The sequence below is a fragment of the Homo sapiens genome, chromosome 11 (assembly GCF_000001405.40).
Source record: "Homo sapiens chromosome 11, GRCh38.p14 Primary Assembly".
Lineage (NCBI taxonomy): Eukaryota > Metazoa > Chordata > Mammalia > Primates > Hominidae > Homo > Homo sapiens.
This window is the reverse complement of record NC_000011.10, coordinates 118,900,494-118,920,177: the sequence shown is the minus strand read 5'-3', so window position 1 is coordinate 118,920,177 and position 19,684 is coordinate 118,900,494. Positions and strand designations below refer to the sequence as shown.

The window sequence follows — 19,684 nt, the reverse complement described above, 5'->3', positions numbered from 1 at the left end:
AATGGAATGCATTTCTCCAGAAGCACTTGTGACAAATCAGTGAGGAAGCAGAGTGCTGGGGCCGGGGCTGATTGTGTGAGTCAGAGACCTATGGAGACAGCAGCAGGAGGTGGACATAAGGATAAGCTGTCCCTTTTACGTCCCCACCCCCAGTGGCCTCTGGTCCCAGAGCACAGTGGGAGGAAGGGAGGGGTACAGGTTGGTACAGTGCTCAGTGACCCAGCAGGGGGAGGGCCTGGGCAAGGAATTTTCAGCTTGTTTCTCAATCTCTGTCTCTGAGACACGCACACACGTCACTGCAGACACCTTTAGGAGATGAGCTCAGAAAAGTCACCTAGGTGGCGGCAGGGCAGGGCAGTGCCAGACGGGGCCATGTGGAACCAGCCTTATGCTGGTAGATGCCCTGCTCTGTATGAGCCTTAGAATGGAAAGTTGAGCCCAGCCGAAGGTCTCCTCCCCAGCAGACCCCATCTCAGGTCTGGGAGGAACACAGGCTGGAGAGGGTTAAGTCTGGTTGGCAGGGACACCCCCCGCCCAGTGCAGTGAGAGAGAGGGAGGGGTGGTTAGCAGCTTGCTCTAGTTGGCGTCTCTCCCAGAATTCTTCGGAAAAGAACTCCCCTTTGACCCCCCAGTACAAACTGAGCCCAGCCACCAGCCTCTCTCCCGCCTGCTGTGGGAGCTTCGCCCAGCCCCCTCCTACTGAATTGCTAAACCGACTCCCTCGGCCCAGGTCCTCCCAACCAGACCAGGTCCTCAGGACTTGGCCTCTTCAGGGAACCAGGGCTATAGCCAGGGAGACCACACAGGGACATAGAATACACAGCCATTCTTTTCCCTGACATAGGATAACCTGGAGGTGGCTGGTGCTAGAATCTGGGGTCCTCCAACCTCCCCATCCCTCTCCTCCCCCAGGTCCTCAGGCCAGGTCATGGGAGTCCTCTGCCTCTCCTCCTCCCCGTGGGGCCAAGCTCTAAGGGAGCTCTAAGGTCTTCCAGTGCCTCCTCCTCTCCTGCTTCCAGGCTAGGGAGGGGATGGTGTGGTGGGCGGGGGTTGGGGGGTCGGGGGGGGGGGGGCAGCGGTGCAGCTGGGGTCAGGCTTGGCTCCCAGCCAATCCACAGAAGTCCTGGTGGGGGTGGGGGGTGGCAATTGAGTAGCTCAGAGACTTCCTGGAGCTGCAGGCTGTGTGGACTGTGTGTACATGTTTCTGTGGTGTGTTCGTGGGGGGTGCTGGGGTGATGGGAGGAGCGGGGACATAGATTGCTAGAAGGGGGCTTCTAGCTTTGACCCTCTCTCCACAGGGAGCCCCCAACCCAGACCACACCCTTGAGCCTGAGCCCGACATTATTCCTGAGGTGAGAGGTCTGTGTGCCCCTGTGTGTCCCTCTCAGCCTCCCTGATTTCTGTCCGCGGCGGCCGCGTCACCCTGGCTTAGCCTCCTGCTTGGCGTTTTGTCTTTTGGGCTCCCTTCTCTTGGCTTTCTGCCCCCATCTCTCCTTTCATTCCCCTCCCTCCAGAGGAGGGAGGTCTCCTCTGGCTCCTGGTGGGCAAACAGGCTGACCAGAACCCTAGACCCAGTCAGGTGGGGAGTGGGGCCGGGCTGGGAGGGGTTAGAGCCAGGCTCCAGTGAGAGTCCAGCCCTTCTCTATCTCAGCGGATCTCACCCCCCACCCGCCCCACCCTGCGGGAGGCAAGGAGATTCCGCCCAATCGCCCTGGAGGGCAAGGTACAACTTCCTGGTTATCCCAAGTCCTTGCTCCTCCTCGCTGGCTTGGCCTCTTCTGGCTCAGTCAAAGCCAGGGTGGCTACCAGCCACAGTAGTGTGGTTTCTGCCCTGGCCCCTGGTCCCCTAGCGTACACATGCGTGCGTGTACACACACAGACACACAGACACAGACACACACACACACACACACAGCCTCTTCCCTCCGCCAGCCCCCCTTCCTTACTTAGCAACAACTCCCTGAATTCACAACAAACACGCCTGAGGGCTCCCGGTTCGACTAGGGAAAGCTGGAGGAAGCTGGGGACTGGGAGGAGGCACTTCTCCTAGACCATCCCCAGGAGGGAGGGGCTTCTCATCCCCTCACCTCAGCCCCGAACCTCTCCACTGAAGCCACCCCCCAAGGGACACCAAGGAAGTGGTCCTGCTCTCTACTGAGGAATGAAAGAGATGGGGAGCATTGGCCAGGTGTGGCTGAACAGGTGGGTGGGGGGCAGGGCTGGGACTCCACCCTCACCGGTGAGTCCCACTTGACCTTTGACCCCCACCTGGGGCCTCTCACGAGCCCGTGGTAACTCTTGGCAGGGGCTCTGTGCTGTTGTCTCGGTGACTAGCCTTGTGCCCTCCTCTGACCGGCAGGGACAAGGATGGGTGAGGAAGTAACGGACTGGAGTTGGGCGGGGCTGGGGGAGGCTGGAGAACTTTGCTCTGTCCTGGCACCACAGGCCAGGCCAGGCGGGTACCTGGGTTGAGGGAGTGGGGAGCGGTGCTCTCTCTCTGATCTTCCCTGGGCAAGCCCCGGGCACATCAGGCATGGAGGGAGGATGTGAGGAGTGAGAGGGTGGGGCCTGGACACCCATGCTTTCTTTCGTCATCGTTCAGAGGACTGATACTGTGGTGCATCTGGAGTATTGTGAAATGGCCCAGAACCCAGATGCCAGGGTGTCTGAATTCAAATCCTGCTTCTTCTAAAATTATGGGCCTTAGGCGAGTTATTTAACTTCTCGGCATGTCCCTTTTCTTAGTGGGAAAGTGAGGATAATAAGAATACTTTCTTACCAGATTGTTCTGAGGATTAAACTAGAGGATGCACGTGAAGCATTTAGGACTGGTGAAGTTACAAAGTAAATGCTCAATAAATGTTGGTGATCCTCCCCTCATTTGATTAGTCAGAGCTCTTCACAGGAACTTTTGATCCTCCCAGGGGTTTTAGCAGGGAAAGAATTGATGGTGAGAGAGGGAGTGTGGGGGTGGGGAAGAGACAGCCTTTCCACACTCCAGATTCCTGGATTCTAATACCCCTCCAGATCCACTGTTTGCTGCCGCCGCTTCCCCATCGTTGGTGCCTGCTGACTTCTTGATTGCAAGTTTGCCAAATAGCCAGGGGCCTGGAGAAGGCCCAGGGAGCTTAGGACACGTCTCCCTCGCTATCTTCAGGCTTCCCAGGGCCAGCCCTCCTCCCTGAGGCTGTTTGCTCAGTTCAGCTCAGCACTCCTCCCACTGCCCCATCCCCTGCTGCTCTGCTCTCACCAGGCAAACAAGACATTCCGTCCTTAAATGGCTTAAATGGCCGCCTCCTCTCCTTCCTGGCCTAGGGGTCAGGGACCTGGCTTGGGGAGAGAAGTGTCAGTGTGGAGCTGTGACCTGGATGGCAGCTGTTAGGAACACCTCAGGGCCCTGGACCCCGGATTCCCTGTGCCGTGCCTGGGCATTTCTCTGAGGGGCAGTGCCCAGACCTATGATCATGTGGGGGAGCCCCGATGGGCCTGTCTGTCACCTGCTGGACACAGATGGTCAGGGAGGGGGCATCCTGAAGCCCAGAAGGGGAGTGGGGTAATATCAGCATCTACAGCGTCCAAGGGACACCTCCAGAGTCCTTCCCTGAGCTGCAAGGGGGAGTGTGGACAGTGCTAGGAAAAGTTCTGCCTTAACCCTGTGTGCTGGCAAGGGAGAATGCTGAGTGGGGCCAGGTGGCCAGGGCTCCTATAGGCCCTGGGGTGAGAGTGGGATGGTGGAGGGGCTGAGGCTTGGGAACTTCTGGATGAGGAGCCCAGGAGTGGGCGGCAGGGATGGGGTGCCCACAATGAGGTGGGGAAGCTATGCAGACAAGGTGGGTAAAATCTTCTGGGGACTAAGATGTGGTAGAAGTGCCTAGGATCCCAGGGCCCCTGGGTCTGAGGCCTGGACTTAGCTAGCAGGTGCTCTCTCTGGCTTGGTACCAAGAGGGGTGGGCTGGAGCCCCTGGCTCTGCTTATCATGTTCCTCTGGATCTAGAGAGGACACCTCCCATCCATGGGCCTGGGGGATGAGGGCTCAGGGTCTGCCTGGGCCATGCCTTGCTACTGGACTGGCCATGCCTCCTGTGCCCAGCCCCTGGGGCCTGTTCCTTGGGCAGGCTGGGGCTATTTTTGGGATCGGGCTGGGGCTCTGGGGCCGGTTTCAGATGTTCCAATGTGAACACGAGAAAATGGGAACAGATGGCTGGAGGGTTCCGATCAGTGGGTCCTGCTGGGCGCAGGTTATTTTTAGGGCCTTGTTAACCCTTTGGGGGCTTCTGGGGCCACCCTGAGAGATACAGCCCTGTCTAGTTGAGAAGAGAACAGGTTTTCTCCCTGGGCCCCCTACTTTCCAGAACTGCTTGTCAGTTGTTCTTTCTCTCCCAGACCCTTCCTTTGAGATCCATGGCAAGAGAGTAGGCTTAAGCTTTCTCCCAGCCCAAGTACTACAGGGTGACTGCCAAGGGGCAGGCAGGGAGAAGGGGACCTGGCAGAGGGGAGGCTGGCTCTCTTGAAGGGAAATCCCCCTTCACTTGCCTCCTGGACTTTTGAGACATGGTCCTGAGGCTAAGAGAGTGGACAGCCACCCAGCCCCTCTCTGGGTTCATGCTCTGGATTTGAGTGTGTCGGTGAGCCCAGGATGCCCAGGAGTGTGCCAGCGGAGGGAGCTGACCTCTGAGAGGAGGGCAGGGGAGGAGCCAAGTCTTTTTACTTGGTACCACTAATATGATGCCCACAGGCCCTGTTCTCTTGGACACTCACAGGGAAAATATCTGGACAGTGCCTGCCTTTACCAAATGCCCACATATTTGGGTGCCATGGCAGGAGGTAGAGATAAGGAAATTGAGGCCAGAAGTGGTTTGTCAAGGGCTGGTGTGTCTTAGGCATTCTGTTAGTTTCACTACTGTTACCTCACTCTATAAAATTATTCTCCTTTTGCAGATGAGGAAGCTGAGGCTCAGAGGGATAAAGGGAAGGACAAGGCCCCATAGATGAGAAGGGGCAGGGTGTGATTGACACTGTCTGACTACAAACTTGGTTTTTTTTTTTGAGACAGTCTCGCTCTGTTGCCCAGGCTGGAGTGCAGTGGTGCGTCTCAGCTCACTGCAACCTCCGCCTCCTGGGTTCAAGCAATTCTCTGCCTCAGCCTCCTGAGTAGCTAGGATTACAGGCGCCCACCACCATGTCTGGATAATTTTTGTGTTTGTAGTAGAGACAGGGTTTCACCATCATGGCCAGGCTGGTCTTGAACTCCTGACCTCGTGATCCACCTGCCTTGACCTCCTAAAGTGCTGGGATTACAGGCGTGTGCCACCGCGCCCGGCCCTCAAACTCAGTTCTTATTCCACTGCATCATACTGCCTGCCAGGGCCCCAACCTCAGAGGGCGAGGCCACCAGGCACCAGACCTCCTCTGGGAGCAGCTTTACTGAATGGGTGTGGGAGAGGAGGCCTGGGGACAGGGGACCCTGCCTGTCACTGCTCTCACAATCCCCTAAGCCTTTCTTGCCTGAGGGTGCCAGGACTGACACCAGAAACCCCGTGTGGCCTTCTGTCTCCCTGCAGAGGTCACAGGCATACATCCTGTCTCATCACCCCCACCCCTCCCGGCCTGGCCCACGTGCCCCTGCATCCTGGAGGGTCATGACAGTCTGGATGTCAATGTGGGCAGAGCTCGTGGGGCCCCCAGGTGCTGCTGCTGCCAAGAGTGTGAGCCATCAGGGGAGGTGAGGGGCCAGGAGGATGCCTCTGCCTCTGGCTGTACCTGGGGAGAGAGCAGAGCAGGCAGGCAGGCGGGCGGGCGCTGGGTGAGGTCCCACCGTGGTGCGCTTGGCTGTGCCAGCAGTCTGCTGCACTCCATCCTCCCACAATGGCCCCATTGTTCCCAGCAGCCAGGCAGTTTGGAGGAGGTTCCTCGGCCACCCCTACCCCCCTAAATAGGGGACAGATTAACCCCTTGGAGGACTGAGGCCAGGTGAGGGCCCACAGGGAGCTGCCTTGCCCATCTCTGCCTGTTCTGGGAACCCAGGCTTGGGAAGTTACCTTCTACCCATGTGAACCCAGCACCACACCACCTCCTGAGATGGGAGTCTCCATAGGGTAGAGAGTGGCACCTGGATCATCTCCTACCCCCACCCTGGTGCAGGTGCCAGGGGACAGGAAGTACCAGTGGGGCGGCGGGCAGAGACCAGATATATTTGGGCCGGTGGGGCTAATTCCAGCCACCACTGCCTGCCCTACTGGCTCCTGAGCTCCTTTCCTTCCTGTGAAACCAGAGCTAGGTTGGGCCTAGCTCAGGATTTCGGTGGATTTAAAGAGGCAGCACCATCCCTGCCAGCCTGGCTCCCTCTACCCTCCCCAGGTAGGGTCTGGGGCAGAGAGAGGACTGGAGAGCTTCTTGCTCCTCCCTTGCCCTGGGCTAACCCCTGGCCCTTGCCTCTGTTGGGGTACCAAGCTTTTGGCACTCCTCTCTCCCAGAGCCTTGGGCGGGTGGGGTGGGCGGGGGTGGGCTGTGGTTTCCTGTGTTGGTTGTTTGTGCCTGGCCCAGAGTGCCCGCCGCCTGCCTGGGCTTCCTGCCCTGTCTTGTTTCCTTGTGCCCCCCACCCCCTCTCTACCCCTCCCCCTGTGGGAGGGAGCAGCTGGGGATTGGGTAGCTGTCTTTGGGGGCACCCCACTGCCAGGCCATGATTGCTTCCCAAGGCCCGGCCACACTGACAATGACTGTAGGAGCCAAGAGAAGTGAGGTGACCTCAGGCCTGTCCAAGCAATGCCACTTGTCTGTGCAGGCTCCAGAAGGGACAGTGGGCCAGAATGGGCAAAACCGCCGATCACCCCCCAGTACCCTGTTCAACAATCCCAGACTAGAAAGGTCTGGGACCAGGAGTTTCCCTGGTCCTGTGGAGCTGGGGTTGTCTGACATTACCCTAGGGCTGCAGGTGGGGTGGGGCTGGAAACTCCCAGGGAAAACCTCCCAAGCAAAAATGGCTGATTTGCATGGTCTCCTTTGGCACAGAGTCGGGGGAAGTGTGGAGAGCTACTAGGAACCAGGGCCATGGGAAGGCCCCCTAAGCCTGGAAGTCCCCACATCGAGGGTCCCAGAGCAGCACCTTGGTCCTTGAGCAGATTTCCTGCTGGGCTACGAATCCTTGACCTCCCTGCCCGCTGAGTCACCACCTCAGGAAGAGGAAGTGACCTGAGTGGTGGAGAGAGCTTCTGAGGACTGAGGGGTCCTGACACCCAGGAGAAAGGGGATTTGGGACCCTGTCGTCTCGGGCGCTGTATCTCCCTGAGCCAGAGGCCAAGGATCTCGTTCGCCCTGTTGTCCCCAGCAGGGTCCTGGGCTTTCACGTCATCACAGGGGGCCCTGGCAGCTCAGGAGCATGAACCCTCCAAAACATTTCCTCACTGCCTCTTTGGGGTGGTTTTGAGCTAGGCAGTGACACTGCTGGGCCAGCTGGTGAGCCAAGCAGAGGCTCCCAACGTGGGGGCAGCTAGGAGCAGGCAGGTTGCCACTGGATGTGTGAACGCCTGCCCTACCTGTGGTAGTTGTGTGTGGAGCAGAGCCGGTGTGTCATACCTGGAGGCTCTGGGCATCTGAGCCTTCCTCAGCTCCCTCCCCCAGCTAGGATCAAGTCCACTTTAACCCTTAGCAACCCTTAGGCTGCTAGCTCCTACCCTCGCGTCACTCGGGGTGGGGGAGCGGATGGATATCTCAGGCCCTTTGTCAAGCCGCCTCTTCCGCTCCTCCGATTCATTCTCCTGGTATGCGCCTGGCCTTCCACTCAGGTGACTCGCACCTGCTCCCTGTTTGTGAGCTTGCTACCCCTCCCCACCTAACCCCCTAAGAGGGAGGCACGGTGACGTGTTCCCAGAGCCCCATCCCTTTGCTTTCTCGTACCTCAAGGGCCCCTGGCCTGGTACTAGCAAGCCCCCTTCACTGGGTGCTTTAAAATTGCATTGGGCTGGGATCAGCCCTCTTGGCTTCCCATCACCAGGCCTTCCAGGTGTCTTCGGAGACTGTGAGTGTGTGGAGGAGGAGGGGTCTTCGGGAGCTGGGGCAGACTCTTGAGGGGCAAAGGGGGGAGGTGTGAGATGGGAAAGTCCTGACTCATCCACGCTTGACTCAGCTCGCCCTGCGGCGGGGTGGGAGAGAGGGGGTGGAGTCCCGGAGGGGAGGGTGACTGGAAGAGTCTTCTGGGGAGGAGCCTAGGCCTGAACGGCCACTGGAGAGGACTGATTTTCTAATAGCCCCTTCCCAAATTCTTACAGGTTCTCAATTTTTGAGGCTGTGAACATAGGTAGTGAGTGGCCCTTGCCCTGCCCCTCCCCCCTTATGGGGGACCTGGGCACTGTGGCTGGAATGTGGGAAGCCCAACTATCTGATGCAGGCTCAGAGGAGCAGTCATGGCTGGCGTGGGGAGGTGGGGTCACTGCAGTGTCTGGAATGAGGGTCCGTCCCCACACTGCCACATACTGGATATGTGACTCAAGGTCACGCCACTTCCTTTTCCCAGACCTCAGTTTCCTCGTTGAAATGGGGTCGATCCTTTTGAGAATCAGCGAGCTGGTGAAGGGAGAGCCTGAGATGCATGCCAGCCAGGAGCCTGCTCAGAGCCCTGGTATCTCAGTGACTCCAGCCTCTGCCTCTGCTCTTCCCTGGTTGTGATGGAGAAGCTGGGGGTGGCGGGCTGCTTCCCAGGCAGGTCCTGGACTTTGGAACCTTCCCCCAGGAGCCTTCCTCCCCAGAGACACGGCTGGAGTGGCGAAGGCCAATGTGCCCTAGGGTTAAGTTGGGGTTAGACTCCCGCAGGGTGGCAGGTGGGGCCCCCTCACCCCCAGGTCCCCGCCCAGCCTCCAGCAGCCCCGCAGGGAGCATCAGGAGTGTGCACCGGTGTCTGGCCGGGCCTGTCACCGGGACGAAGCTCCTGGGCCCAAGACTCCTCCCCTTTGACCGGGATCGGCTGCTGGAGGGCTGCTGGAGGGCGGGTAGGGGAGGCGAGGGGGGAGCCAGGGCTGGGGGCGGTTGGGTGAGGCCTCTGTGTTTGTGTAAGTCTGTTGCTGTATCTATGGCCCTGTGCGTGTTTCTTTGTGACTACCAGGCTCAACTTTCTTCGGCTCTCTTGTGGCCGGCCTCAGTCTTTTCATCTGTTCAATGGGTCCGGCGCTCCCACTCAGCCCTCGGGCAGCCCCGGTGTCTGCGCGTGCCCCAGGCTGTCTCCGCGCCTCCCGCTCCGGCGGCGCTTCCCTGGCCTCGGCGCGCCTCTAGCTTCCTGGGCTCCGTGCGTGTCTTGTCTCCCTGTCCACGTGTGAGCTGTGAGTGTGTGTGAGTCAGAGTTCGGGTGTCTGTGGGTCTCTGAGCCTCTGCTGGCAGCACCCGGGGCTCGCCAAGCTCTTGCCGGCTGGCGCGCGCCCAGCCCCTGGCGGGACTTGTCCGTGTGTCTGTCCGCGCGCGGGGCCTGGAGAAGCACGCTGCAGTCCTGTCCGCCTCCCGCTCGCTGCCTCGCTGGCTGTCGCTCGCTCGCTCTGCCTCTCCGCCCGGGCTCTGCCGAAGGGGGCGGGGTGGGGGTGCAGGGCGGGGGGAGGGGAGGCTCCTGCATTCTTGCGGTCGGGGAGGAATCCGAGCCAGCGTTACTGGTCTCCAGAAGAGCCCAGCTGCAGCCCCGGGGCCCCGCCAGGCCTCTCGCTGCCCGCCCGGGCCTGCTGGGATGGGCACGGGCTAGGCCTCGAGCTGGGGACGGGGCGGGGCGTGGCCCCAACCCCGGGCCCCCTCCACGGCTGGAGCGCTCTGGGGGTGGGGCACGAGGGGTACCCCACCCTGGGTGAGGGGCGCGTCTGGGAGCAGGAATCCCTCAGGGGGCCAGGGGAGACCTCACAGCCGCCCCACACGGCACCTTTGCTACCTAGCCTTTTAGTGAATTCTGTCTCTGCCGCCCGTCGGGGCGGAGGCTTGCTGGAGACTGCAAGCCCCCTGAGGGCAAGGTGCGGGAGGGATGGGGACAGGGCTGGCCTCCAGGATCGAGACCCCATCTCGTAATCCTCTTTTTCCAGTGCCACCCCACCCTATCCAGCTCCCTAGTCCCAGGGCTGTTGGGTCCTCCCTTCTCCCCTCCCCCTCTGACACCCCCTCCCCAAGTCACGAGTTTTCTCTTTGGGGCTTGTTGCTGCAGTCCGTGCTCCAGTACCGAGTACCTGGCTGGGCCCTGGGCACGCACAGGGGCCGTAGCCCCACTGTGTGTGGGAGCCATGAGGATCCTGGCTAACAAGACAAGGTGTGTGGGTGTCGTGGCGGGTGGGATGTGTGTGTGTGGAGTGCGGGAAGGGAAGGGCCCAGTGGTGATGGGGCCCAAGCTGTGCTGGCCAGGAGAGGAGCCGCCCTGGGCACCTGGCTCCCAGGCCACCAGTGGGCTAAAGGGGGGTTAGCATGGGAAGGCCTGGCCCGAGGCAGGAGGCGCAGCCAGCCTTAGTGCCTGGGCCTGGGTGGGGGGCAGAGGGGACTGGCAGCCAGCTATGCTTGCGGCTTCTGGTCCCTTCTAGTTCTTCCCTCCTTAAAATGGTTTGAGCAGACCCCCTCCCACCCTACTGTGGGGTCCGAAGGCCGCCTCTGGCCTCAGTCTAGCTGGAGGTGGGAGCTGGAGTAGGGGGCGGTGCCTGCCTCCCTCCCCCCTCCCCGGAGAAGCCGGCAGACAGGGCCAGGCGGCAGCAGCAGGACAGCAGAGCTGAAATAAATCTGAGCTGGTGTGGAATGAGGGGGGATAAATATCCTCTCCCGTGATGTGATCTTTCCAGCGGCTATTAATAGGTCTCCGGGGAGGGGGAGGCGGCGGGGGGAGCGGGCTGGAGCTTAAAGGGCCCGCAGCCTAGGCTGCAGGAATCCTTGGCTTCAAGCTACACTCCCCATCTGCTTGACACACCGCTCCCCTCCCCCTTTCCTCCTGCTTCTGCCTGCCGGCCTGGCCTGCCAAGCCCCCCTCCTCAGGCCTTCCCCTCCAGCTGTCTGGACCAGTGGGTAGCACTCCCTGGTGTGCGTTTTCCCACTGTCCCTGGGGAATGAGACCCGGGCATGTGCAGTGACCCCAGGTCCTGTGGCCCTTCTCTGCTGGTGTTGGGACATATGGGAGTTGAGGTTTGAGACCTTGGAAGGAGTCTGAAGACAGCAGATCTTAGAAGAGAGGATGCTTAAGTCTGATACAGAGGACAGGGTTGCCACAGAAGCTTGCAGGCTGATGGGTGTTTTGGGGCTGAGGTGGGTGAATTCTGCCAACTCTAGGCCCTGGTTTCCATTCAAATTGTGGAGGCTAGGGGGTGGAGGGTTTCCCCATCTCCACTCCCCAAGGTGGATGAGGGCTTCAGCCCTTGTCTGAGGAAGCCATGGAGGGAGGTAGAGAATAGCTGGTGGTGGTCTTGAGATACCACCCCTTCCCCCCACCCTCCCCCATTGTTAGGGGAGGCAGGATGGGGTAATTAAGTTGCAGGCATGCCTAGCCCCTAGCAAGGTTAACTTTTCACATTTCTCCCACCTCCTCCCAGGTTACCCCACCCCAGGAGGAGAGAAGCTCCAGGGAGCCCGCCGCTGTCCCCCCGCGGTCATTGCCCCCCTGCCCCAGCCAAGCCAATGCACCCAGAAAATAAATTGACCAATCATGGCAAGACAGGGAATGGCGGGGCCCAATCTCAGCACCAGAATGTGAACCAAGGACCCACCTGCAACGTGGGCTCGAAGGGCGTGGGGGCGGGGAACCATGGGGCCAAGGCCAACCAGATCTCGCCTAGCAACTCAAGTCTGAAGAACCCCCAGGCAGGGGTGCCCCCTTTCAGCTCGCTCAAGGGCAAGGTGAAGAGGGACCGGAGTGTGTCTGTGGACTCTGGAGAGCAGCGAGAGGCTGGGACCCCATCCCTGGATTCAGAGGCCAAAGGTACCCCATTTCCTCATCCCTAAGACCCTAGCATCTCCCATAGTCCAAGGCTCAGATGTTCTGGGAGATCACCTCTCTGCTCCCTGCTTGTCCAGTCCTCATCCCACGTTCTTCTCCAGTATTTCTGCATGGGTACCTTTCAACACCCACCAACCAGATCATTCGGGATTGGGGTTGGCCATGATGCCACCCATGGAGGGGCCACACAGAGTGGTCGGACTTCTGGACTCCTTCCCCTCCTGCTTTCCCACCAGAGCTCCAGAAGGGGAGAGGGAGGTGCCATGGAGTGAGGAGCAGACCCCAGACCCACACACTTCCAGGAGCCTCCGTATCCCGGCTGGTGGGAGCCCTTTGGGAGCAGGCACTGGGGCCTGGAAGAGTAGCAGCAGCTCCCCCTCCCCTCCAGCCCTAATTAGAACCAGTTGTGGTTGGGGATTATGCTGTACTTGGTGTTGGGGGGGAGGGGAGACAGGCATGGGGCTATAGAGAGAAATCAGAAACAAATGGTGGCGTGGTGGGGGCCACGGGCTGGCGAAGTGCCCACCATGGCCTGGGCAGTGCCCTCTAGGGTGGGGCATCTTAGAGAATGGATCTGGGAGGGACCCTGGGTGTGGGAGAATAATGGGGCCTCTAGGCACTCACTCTTTCCTCCGTCCTGCCTGGGCAGAGGTGGCGCCGCGGAGTAAGCGGCGCTGTGTGCTGGAGCGGAAGCAGCCGTACAGTGGGGACGAATGGTGCTCTGGACCGGACAGTGAGGAGGACGACAAGCCCATTGGGGCCACCCACAGTGAGTGCCTGTCGATGCCAGGGTGCTGTAGCCCGTGATGTTCCTGGGGGATGGACTTGAGAGGACTGAGCCTGGGAAAGAAGTGAGGACTGGGAGTCCTGGATTTTTCTCTCCCATCCTACCTCTCAGACTCTGTCCCTCCCTACACTGCAACTGCCTCGCCTCTGCCTTCCAGGTGCTCAGTGACCCCCTCTCCCTAGGGACCCTAGGTGGGGCAGAGTGGAGTGGCCTCCTTCTTGGTCACGTCACCTGCACCTCTACCTGTGAATTCCTGGCCTATGCTGCCACCTACTGGTTAGTGGAGGGAGGGCGGTGAAGCGTCCAGGGACACTGGGAGCCGGGCAGTTGGCTCTGCTGTGCAAAGCCCTGCTAAGCCTGGGTGTGAGTTGCCACTTGGCCGTGTCTCTAGTGCCCTTCCCTAACCTCTAATTGACTCCTGGCAAGTACCCAGGGTGTGTCACCAGGACAAGAAGTGGGTGTGGAGGGATGCCCACTCCTCCTCTGATTCTTTTATGGATTCGCCTATATCTTGTCCTTCCATGAGTGATGGGGGAGAGCCAGATGTAACCCCTGCCCCTGGGAAGCTTGTACATATTTTTTTTCCCTCAAAGTTTACGTTTACATCTTTTTGAGGAGAGAGACATAAGAAACTAGCCAGAGAGGCTGGGTGTGGTGGCTGTCACCTGTAATCCCCAGAATTTGGGGAGCTGAAACCGGAGAATTGCTTGAGCCCAGGAGTTCAAGAACAGCCTGGCCAACATAGGGAGACCCCATCTCTAAAAAGAGAGAGAGAGAGAAAGAAAGGAAAGAAGTAAAGAAAGAAGAAAAAGAAACTAGCCAGAGACTATTAAATTGTGAACTCCTTGAAGGCAGGGACCATAGAAAGAAGAAAGAAAAGAGTACATTGGCTACTTTGCTACTCTGTTTTATTTAATCCTTACAACAGCCCTGTGAGGTCAGTGTTATCATGATGCCAATTACAGAGGAGGAGAGAGAGTCAGCAAATGTTATGGAGTGAGCAGACTATGTCTGTGACAGGGGTGTAGAGGGTCAAATACCAAACCTCTACAGCTAGCTGGAACCTCACAGACCATCCTGTATCAGTTCTCTCTCCCCCGTGGGACTAACCTGGTGGTCGCCAAGCCTCTGGCTGAACCCTTTGATGATAGAAGCCTTTACTGCTTCCCAGACCAGACACCTCCCCCCATAGCCACCACCTCCAGTTCACTTATGTCACATCAGACTGCACCATTGTAGAAACTTTGTGAGTTTTATTTATTTATTGTTTAGAGACAGGGTCTCTCTCTGACACCCAGGCTGGAGTGCAGTGGTGTGATCACAGCTCACTGCAACCTCAAACTCCTGAGCTCAAGTGATCCTCCCATCTCAGACTCCCAAGTAGCTGGGGCTCAGGCATGTATCACACCTGGCTAATTTTTGTAGAGACAGTCTTGCCATGTTGCCCAGGCTGATCTTGAACTCCTGGTCTCAAGCGATCCTCATGCCTTGGCCTCCCAAAGTGCTGGAATTACAGGAGTGAGCCACTGTGCCTGGCAAACATAGGGAAATACAAAGTAGAAATTGCTAACATCCCATACTCAAGGCGACTATTTTAGTCGTACTACCCTTAGATTCTTTTATTTATTTATTTATTTATTTATTTTTGAATCGGAGTTTCACTCTTGTTGCCCAGGCTGGAGTGCAATGGCACGAACTCGGCTTACTGCAACCTCTGCCTCCTGAGTTCAAGCGATTTTCCTGCCTCAGCCTCCCGAGTAGCTGGGATTACAGGCACCTGCCACCACGCCTGGCTAATTTTTGTATTTTTAGCAGAGGTGGAGTTTTAGCATGTTGGCCAGACCGGTCCTGAACTCCTGACCTCAGGTGATACACCTGCCTCAGCCCCCCAAAGTGCTGGGATTACAGGCGTGAGCCACCCGGCCTGATTCTTTTTTTTTTTTTTTTTTTTTGAGACAGAGTCTCACTCACTCTGTTGCCCAGGCTGGAGTGCAGTGGCACAATCTCGGCTCACTGCAACCTCCACCTCCTGGGTTCAAGTAATTCTCCTGCTTCAGCCTCCCAAGTAGCTGGGATTACAGGCATGCGTCACCACGCCTGGCTAATTTTTGTATTTTTAGTAGAGATGGAGTTTCACCATTATGGCCAGGCTGGTCTTGAACTCCTGCCCTCAAGTGATCCGCCCGCCTCGGCCTCCCAAAGTGTTAGGATTACAGGCATAAGCCACCGTGCCCGGCCTGCCCTTAGATTCTTGAAGAGTTCTTACTGGAGGGGCGATAGAACGTAGACATTGACAGGACTAGTTCTGCCATCAGGCTGCCTTCGTTTGCAACCCAGGTTATTTCTGTAAATTTGGGAAAGGGCCTCAGTTTCCTCATCTGTAAAAGTATTATTTATCTCATAGGGTTGGTATGAGGAGTAAATGAGGTTATACATGTAACATGTTAGCTTTTATCATTGTTATTGTACTAGAAAGTTCCTTGTTGGACTAAGCCCTGCCTGTCTCCCCATAGCTCGTATCCAAGAGCTACTCAGCAGCCTTCACACATTGAGGTCAGCTCTCAAGCTCCCCCGCAAATTTCTGGCTCTGCTCTTCTATGTAAAATTGGATAGATAGGGTCCAGAGCAGGGCCGTTTTGGGGTGGGTCCATCAGAGAAGAAGGTGCAGAAGAAACTTTTTCCAAAGAGGGCAGCCTGACACTGGGCCCATGGGAAGGTGGTCACTGCCCTGGCTGGATGGAGACAACTTCAGGCAATCTGTCTCCCATTAACTGAGAATGCTGGTACTTACTGTCTGCGGGCCAGGAACTGTGACTTGCTTTTCTTGGCATGCGAATGGGTCTACCCACTCACCTAGACCCGTTGTAGATTTTTTTCTACGCTAAGACTTACAGTCAAGTGTCTAACCATGGAACAAAACTTCCCTTGGTGCTGAGGGCAGCTGGTCTGTCTTGAGAGTGTTTCCAGTATGTCAGCTTTTTCTAACTGTTTTTTCTTTCTTATTTTTATTTATTTATTTATTTTTTTGAGACAGTCTCGCTCTGTCGCCCTGGCTAGAGTGCAATGGTGTGATCTCGGCTCACTGCAACTTCCACCTCCTAAGTTCAAGCAATTCTCATGTCTCAGCCTCCTGAGTAGCGGGATTACAGCCATGCGCCACCATGCCCAGTTAATTTTTGTATTTTTAGTAGAGACGGGGTTTCACCATGTTGGCCAGGCTGGTCTTGAACTCATGACCTCAGGTGATCCGCCCGCCTCTACCGCCCAAACTGCTGGGATTACAGGCGTGAGACACCGCTCCCGGCTCTCTGTTTTTCAAATGGATTTTTTTAGTCTGTGACATTGATTTAAACTTACTGTTAAAAAATATATTTCTTTGGCCTGCCCCCTGTGCAAGGAGGAGGTTAGTATTTTACATTTTATAGATGAAGAAACCGAGGCTTAGAGGGATGTCTGGTTCATAAAATCACAAAGTCAGTTAGTGGTGGGGCTAGAGTGAAAAACCATCCATCATTTGGATCATCAGCTTGTGTACCCTCTCTGCCTTCTCCCTAACTGGGTCACTAGACTGTGTGCACATACACTTACCCAGTGAGAGGGGCAGCAGCTCAGAGCGGAGCTTCAGAGTCCCGGCCCTGGGTTCAGTTCTGGCTCTGCACTAACTGGCTGTGTAACTGTGGGTGAGGAACTTATTTCCTCCTTTGTTAAGTGGAGTGTGTGACACGTTCCTCCCAGGGTGTGTTGATGAGATGAAATCACACCTGTTAAGTCCCCAGCAGAATGCCAGGCCCATGGGAGCCTGTGGAGAGGACACATTTTCTCTGTCCCTGCTCTCCACATGGTCACCACTCTTGCCATCGTGGAAACCAGCCTGGTGAGAACACCAGATACTGACATCAAATGTCCCTGTGGGCACGAGCTGTAAGGCTGTGAGCATCAGTGGGAGGGGGCATCAGCTGGTCCTTCTTGTATCTAGACCACTTAGCCCCTTTCCCTGTCCTCTCTCCTGCAGATTGTAATGTAGCAGACCCAGCCATGGCGGCCCCACAGCTGGGTCCCGGCCAAACCACCCAACTGCCCCTCAGCGAGAGCAGCGTGCCAGGCGCCCCGCACGGCCCTCCTCCTGGCCTTCGGCCTGATGCCCCTGGGGGCGGGGGCGGGGGCGGGGGCGTCCCCGGAAAGCCTCCCTCGCAGTTCGTATATGTCTTCACCACCCACCTGGCCAACACGTAAGTGCCTGGTGGGCAGGCCAAGTCTCTCTCTCTCTCTGCCCAGCACCTCTCAGCCTGGGGTTCCGAGGGAGCCCCGTGCAGGGGCAGGGTGGGGTGGGTGAGGGTGGGGCTCCCTCCTGCTCACCTCTCTGAGCTGTCGGTGCCCCCACTCTGTGCAGGGCTGCAGAGGCAGTGCTGCAGGGCCGGGCCGACTCCATCCTCGCCTACCACCAGCAGAACGTGCCCCGGGCCAAGCTTGACCAGGTGAGCGTGGCGCCTCTGTGAGCAGCAGGACTGGGTGGAACGTCCCCTTACCTGTCTCATGCTCTCTTTGTCCTTCTGCAGGCCCCTAAAGTGCCCCCCACCCCAGAACCGCTACCCCTGAGCACGCCGTCAGCAGGCACCCCGCAGTCCCAGCCACCTCCACTGCCGCCGCCGCCACCCCCGGCCCCTGGCAGTGCCCCGCCTGCTCTGCCCCCAGAGGGGCCTCCTGAGGACAGCAGTCAGGACCTGGCCCCCAACTCGGTGGGAGCTGCCAGCACAGGTGGTGGGACTGGGGGCACCCACCCTAACACCCCGACGGCTACCACCGCCAACAACCCTCTGCCTCCTGGAGGAGACCCCAGCAGTGCCCCCGGCCCTGCCCTGCTGGGGGAGGCAGCCGCCCCTGGAAATGGGCAGCGCAGCCTGGTGGGCTCAGAGGGCTTGTCCAAAGAGCAGCTGGAGCATCGGGAACGGTCCCTCCAGACGCTGCGAGACATTGAGCGACTGCTGCTCCGCAGCGGAGAGACTGAGCCCTTCCTCAAGGGGCCCCCAGGAGGAGCGGGTGAGGGGGGCCCACCAGCACAAGCCCCCCCTCCCCCCCAGCAGCCACCCACGGCCCCTCCCAGCGGGCTGAAGAAATATGAGGAACCCTTGCAGTCCATGATTTCACAGACACAGAGCCTAGGGGGCCCCCCGCTGGAGCATGAAGTGCCTGGGCACCCCCCGGGTGGGGACATGGGGCAGCAGATGAACATGATGATACAGAGGCTGGGCCAGGACAGCCTCACGCCTGAGCAGGTGGCCTGGCGCAAGCTGCAGGAGGAGTACTACGAAGAGAAACGGCGGAAAGAGGAACAGATTGGGCTGCATGGGAGCCGTCCTCTGCAGGACATGATGGGCATGGGGGGCATGATGGTGAGGGGGCCCCCGCCTCCTTACCACAGCAAGCCTGGGGATCAGTGGCCACCTGGAATGGGTGCGCAGCTGCGGGGGCCCATGGATGTTCAAGATCCCATGCAGCTCCGGGGCGGACCTCCCTTTCCTGGGCCCCGTTTCCCAGGCAACCAGATACAACGGGTACCTGGGTTTGGGGGCATGCAGAGTATGCCCATGGAGGTGCCCATGAATGCCATGCAGAGGCCCGTGAGACCAGGCATGGGCTGGACCGAAGACTTGCCCCCTATGGGGGGACCCAGCAATTTTGCCCAGAACACCATGCCCTACCCAGGTGGGCAGGGTGAGGCGGAGCGATTCATGACTCCCCGGGTCCGTGAGGAGCTGCTGCGGCACCAGCTGCTGGAGAAGCGGTCGATGGGCATGCAGCGCCCCCTGGGCATGGCAGGCAGTGGCATGGGACAGAGCATGGAGATGGAGCGGATGATGCAGGCGCACCGACAGATGGATCCTGCCATGTTTCCCGGGCAGATGGCTGGTGGTGAGGGCCTGGCGGGCACTCCCATGGGCATGGAGTTTGGTGGAGGCCGGGGCCTCCTGAGCCCTCCCATGGGGCAGTCTGGGCTGAGGGAGGTGGACCCACCCATGGGGCCAGGCAACCTCAACATGAACATGAATGTCAACATGAACATGAACATGAACCTGAACGTGCAGATGACCCCGCAGCAGCAGATGCTGATGTCGCAGAAGATGCGGGGCCCTGGGGACTTGATGGGGCCCCAGGGCCTCAGTCCTGAGGAGATGGCCCGGGTTCGGGCCCAGAACAGCAGTGGCGTGATGGGCGGCCCGCAGAAGATGCTGATGCCTTCACAGTTTCCCAACCAGGGCCAGCAGGGATTCTCTGGAGGCCAGGGACCCTACCAAGCCATGTCCCAGGACATGGGCAATACCCAAGACATGTTCAGCCCTGATCAGAGCTCAATGCCCATGAGCAACGTGGGCACCACCCGGCTCAGCCACATGCCTCTGCCCCCTGCGTCCAATCCTCCTGGGACCGTGCATTCAGCCCCAAACCGGGGGCTAGGCAGGCGGCCTTCGGACCTCACCATCAGTATTAATCAGATGGGCTCACCGGGCATGGGGCACTTGAAGTCGCCCACCCTTAGCCAGGTGCACTCACCCCTGGTCACCTCGCCCTCTGCCAACCTCAAGTCACCCCAGACTCCCTCACAGATGGTGCCCTTGCCTTCTGCCAACCCGCCAGGACCTCTCAAGTCGCCCCAGGTCCTCGGCTCCTCCCTCAGTGTCCGTTCACCCACTGGCTCGCCCAGCAGGCTCAAGTCTCCTTCCATGGCGGTGCCTTCTCCAGGCTGGGTTGCCTCACCTAAGACGGCCATGCCCAGCCCGGGGGTCTCCCAGAACAAGCAGCCGCCTCTCAACATGAACTCTTCCACCACCCTGAGCAACATGGAACAGGGTGAGTCAATTGCGCAGGCAGGCAGGCAGGCAGGCAGGCAGGCGCTGAGCAGTGTGTCCATGCTGGGGCTGGGCAGTGAGTGAGTAAGGGCCTGTGTACCACGGGCCCAGAGGTGGATGGCTCTG

General features: G+C 58.8%; 1 protein-coding gene and 1 non-coding gene across 9 annotated transcripts in view, besides 12 other annotated features; one reads left to right on the top strand and one right to left on the bottom strand.

Moving 5' to 3' along the window:
* The window catches only part of BCL9L (BCL9 like), a 29,791-nt gene that overhangs the window by 5,749 nt on the left and 4,358 nt on the right, over nucleotides 1-19,684 (top strand). Inside the window, exons 2-8 of one of the 8 annotated variants that reach the window (NM_001378213.1) lie at nucleotides 1,299-1,352; nucleotides 10,163-10,264; nucleotides 11,523-11,908; nucleotides 12,576-12,695; nucleotides 16,726-16,942; nucleotides 17,104-17,188; nucleotides 17,270-19,559. In NM_001378213.1, coding sequence (NP_001365142.1) covers nucleotides 10,239-10,264; nucleotides 11,523-11,908; nucleotides 12,576-12,695; nucleotides 16,726-16,942; nucleotides 17,104-17,188; nucleotides 17,270-19,559 — 3,124 coding nt within the window. In that variant the 5' untranslated portion in view covers nucleotides 1,299-1,352; nucleotides 10,163-10,238. Of the gene's footprint in view, nucleotides 1-1,298; nucleotides 1,353-1,785; nucleotides 2,203-9,635; nucleotides 10,265-10,288; nucleotides 11,239-11,522; nucleotides 11,909-12,575; nucleotides 12,696-16,725; nucleotides 16,943-17,103; nucleotides 17,189-17,269; nucleotides 19,560-19,684 lie in introns of those variants that run through there. The other 7 variants (XM_047426800.1, XM_006718815.4, NM_001378214.1 and 4 more) reach the window with 7 other exon arrangements.
* Nucleotides 1,715-2,256: an enhancer, noted in NCBI's record as "H3K27ac-H3K4me1 hESC enhancer chr11:118788631-118789172 (GRCh37/hg19 assembly coordinates)". NCBI's record gives its function as "activates a minimal SCP1, AML or CMV promoter by ChIP-STARR-seq in primed H9 embryonic stem cells {active_cell/tissue: H9 hESC(primed)}" and the evidence as "EXISTENCE:reporter gene assay evidence [ECO:0000049][PMID:30033119]".
* Nucleotides 2,797-3,338: an enhancer, noted in NCBI's record as "NANOG-H3K27ac-H3K4me1 hESC enhancer chr11:118787549-118788090 (GRCh37/hg19 assembly coordinates)". NCBI's record gives its function as "activates a minimal SCP1, AML or CMV promoter by ChIP-STARR-seq in naive and primed H9 embryonic stem cells {active_cell/tissue: H9 hESC(naive and primed)}" and the evidence as "EXISTENCE:reporter gene assay evidence [ECO:0000049][PMID:30033119]".
* Nucleotides 4,963-5,504: an enhancer, noted in NCBI's record as "H3K27ac-H3K4me1 hESC enhancer chr11:118785383-118785924 (GRCh37/hg19 assembly coordinates)". NCBI's record gives its function as "activates a minimal SCP1, AML or CMV promoter by ChIP-STARR-seq in naive H9 embryonic stem cells {active_cell/tissue: H9 hESC(naive)}" and the evidence as "EXISTENCE:reporter gene assay evidence [ECO:0000049][PMID:30033119]".
* Nucleotides 5,505-6,044: an enhancer, noted in NCBI's record as "H3K27ac-H3K4me1 hESC enhancer chr11:118784843-118785382 (GRCh37/hg19 assembly coordinates)". NCBI's record gives its function as "activates a minimal SCP1, AML or CMV promoter by ChIP-STARR-seq in naive H9 embryonic stem cells {active_cell/tissue: H9 hESC(naive)}" and the evidence as "EXISTENCE:reporter gene assay evidence [ECO:0000049][PMID:30033119]".
* Nucleotides 6,339-6,448: an enhancer, noted in NCBI's record as "active region_5609". NCBI's record gives its function as "activates an Ori minimal core promoter by ATAC-STARR-seq in GM12878 lymphoblastoid cells {active_cell/tissue: GM12878}" and the evidence as "EXISTENCE:reporter gene assay evidence [ECO:0000049][PMID:35858748]".
* Nucleotides 7,127-7,668: an enhancer, noted in NCBI's record as "H3K27ac-H3K4me1 hESC enhancer chr11:118783219-118783760 (GRCh37/hg19 assembly coordinates)". NCBI's record gives its function as "activates a minimal SCP1, AML or CMV promoter by ChIP-STARR-seq in primed H9 embryonic stem cells {active_cell/tissue: H9 hESC(primed)}" and the evidence as "EXISTENCE:reporter gene assay evidence [ECO:0000049][PMID:30033119]".
* Nucleotides 7,127-8,485: a biological region, named in NCBI's record as "P300/CBP strongly-dependent group 1 enhancer GRCh37_chr11:118782402-118783601".
* Nucleotides 7,286-8,485: an enhancer, noted in NCBI's record as "P300/CBP strongly-dependent group 1 enhancer chr11:118782402-118783601 (GRCh37/hg19 assembly coordinates)". NCBI's record gives its function as "activates an origin of replication core promoter dependent on BRD2, BRD4, P300/CBP, MED14 and CDK7 cofactors, with strong dependence on P300/CBP, by STARR-seq in HCT116 cells {active_cell/tissue: HCT116}" and the evidence as "EXISTENCE:reporter gene assay evidence [ECO:0000049][PMID:35650434]".
* Nucleotides 7,669-8,210: an enhancer, noted in NCBI's record as "H3K27ac-H3K4me1 hESC enhancer chr11:118782677-118783218 (GRCh37/hg19 assembly coordinates)". NCBI's record gives its function as "activates a minimal SCP1, AML or CMV promoter by ChIP-STARR-seq in naive and primed H9 embryonic stem cells {active_cell/tissue: H9 hESC(naive and primed)}" and the evidence as "EXISTENCE:reporter gene assay evidence [ECO:0000049][PMID:30033119]".
* Nucleotides 8,753-9,292: an enhancer, noted in NCBI's record as "H3K27ac-H3K4me1 hESC enhancer chr11:118781595-118782134 (GRCh37/hg19 assembly coordinates)". NCBI's record gives its function as "activates a minimal SCP1, AML or CMV promoter by ChIP-STARR-seq in primed H9 embryonic stem cells {active_cell/tissue: H9 hESC(primed)}" and the evidence as "EXISTENCE:reporter gene assay evidence [ECO:0000049][PMID:30033119]".
* MIR4492 (microRNA 4492) lies at nucleotides 9,391-9,470 on the bottom strand. Its single transcript, NR_039713.1, has one exon. It is a non-coding gene; the product is annotated as a microRNA 4492 (primary transcript).
* Nucleotides 10,376-10,917: an enhancer, noted in NCBI's record as "H3K27ac-H3K4me1 hESC enhancer chr11:118779970-118780511 (GRCh37/hg19 assembly coordinates)". NCBI's record gives its function as "activates a minimal SCP1, AML or CMV promoter by ChIP-STARR-seq in naive H9 embryonic stem cells {active_cell/tissue: H9 hESC(naive)}" and the evidence as "EXISTENCE:reporter gene assay evidence [ECO:0000049][PMID:30033119]".
* Nucleotides 12,646-12,715: an enhancer, noted in NCBI's record as "active region_5608". NCBI's record gives its function as "activates an Ori minimal core promoter by ATAC-STARR-seq in GM12878 lymphoblastoid cells {active_cell/tissue: GM12878}" and the evidence as "EXISTENCE:reporter gene assay evidence [ECO:0000049][PMID:35858748]".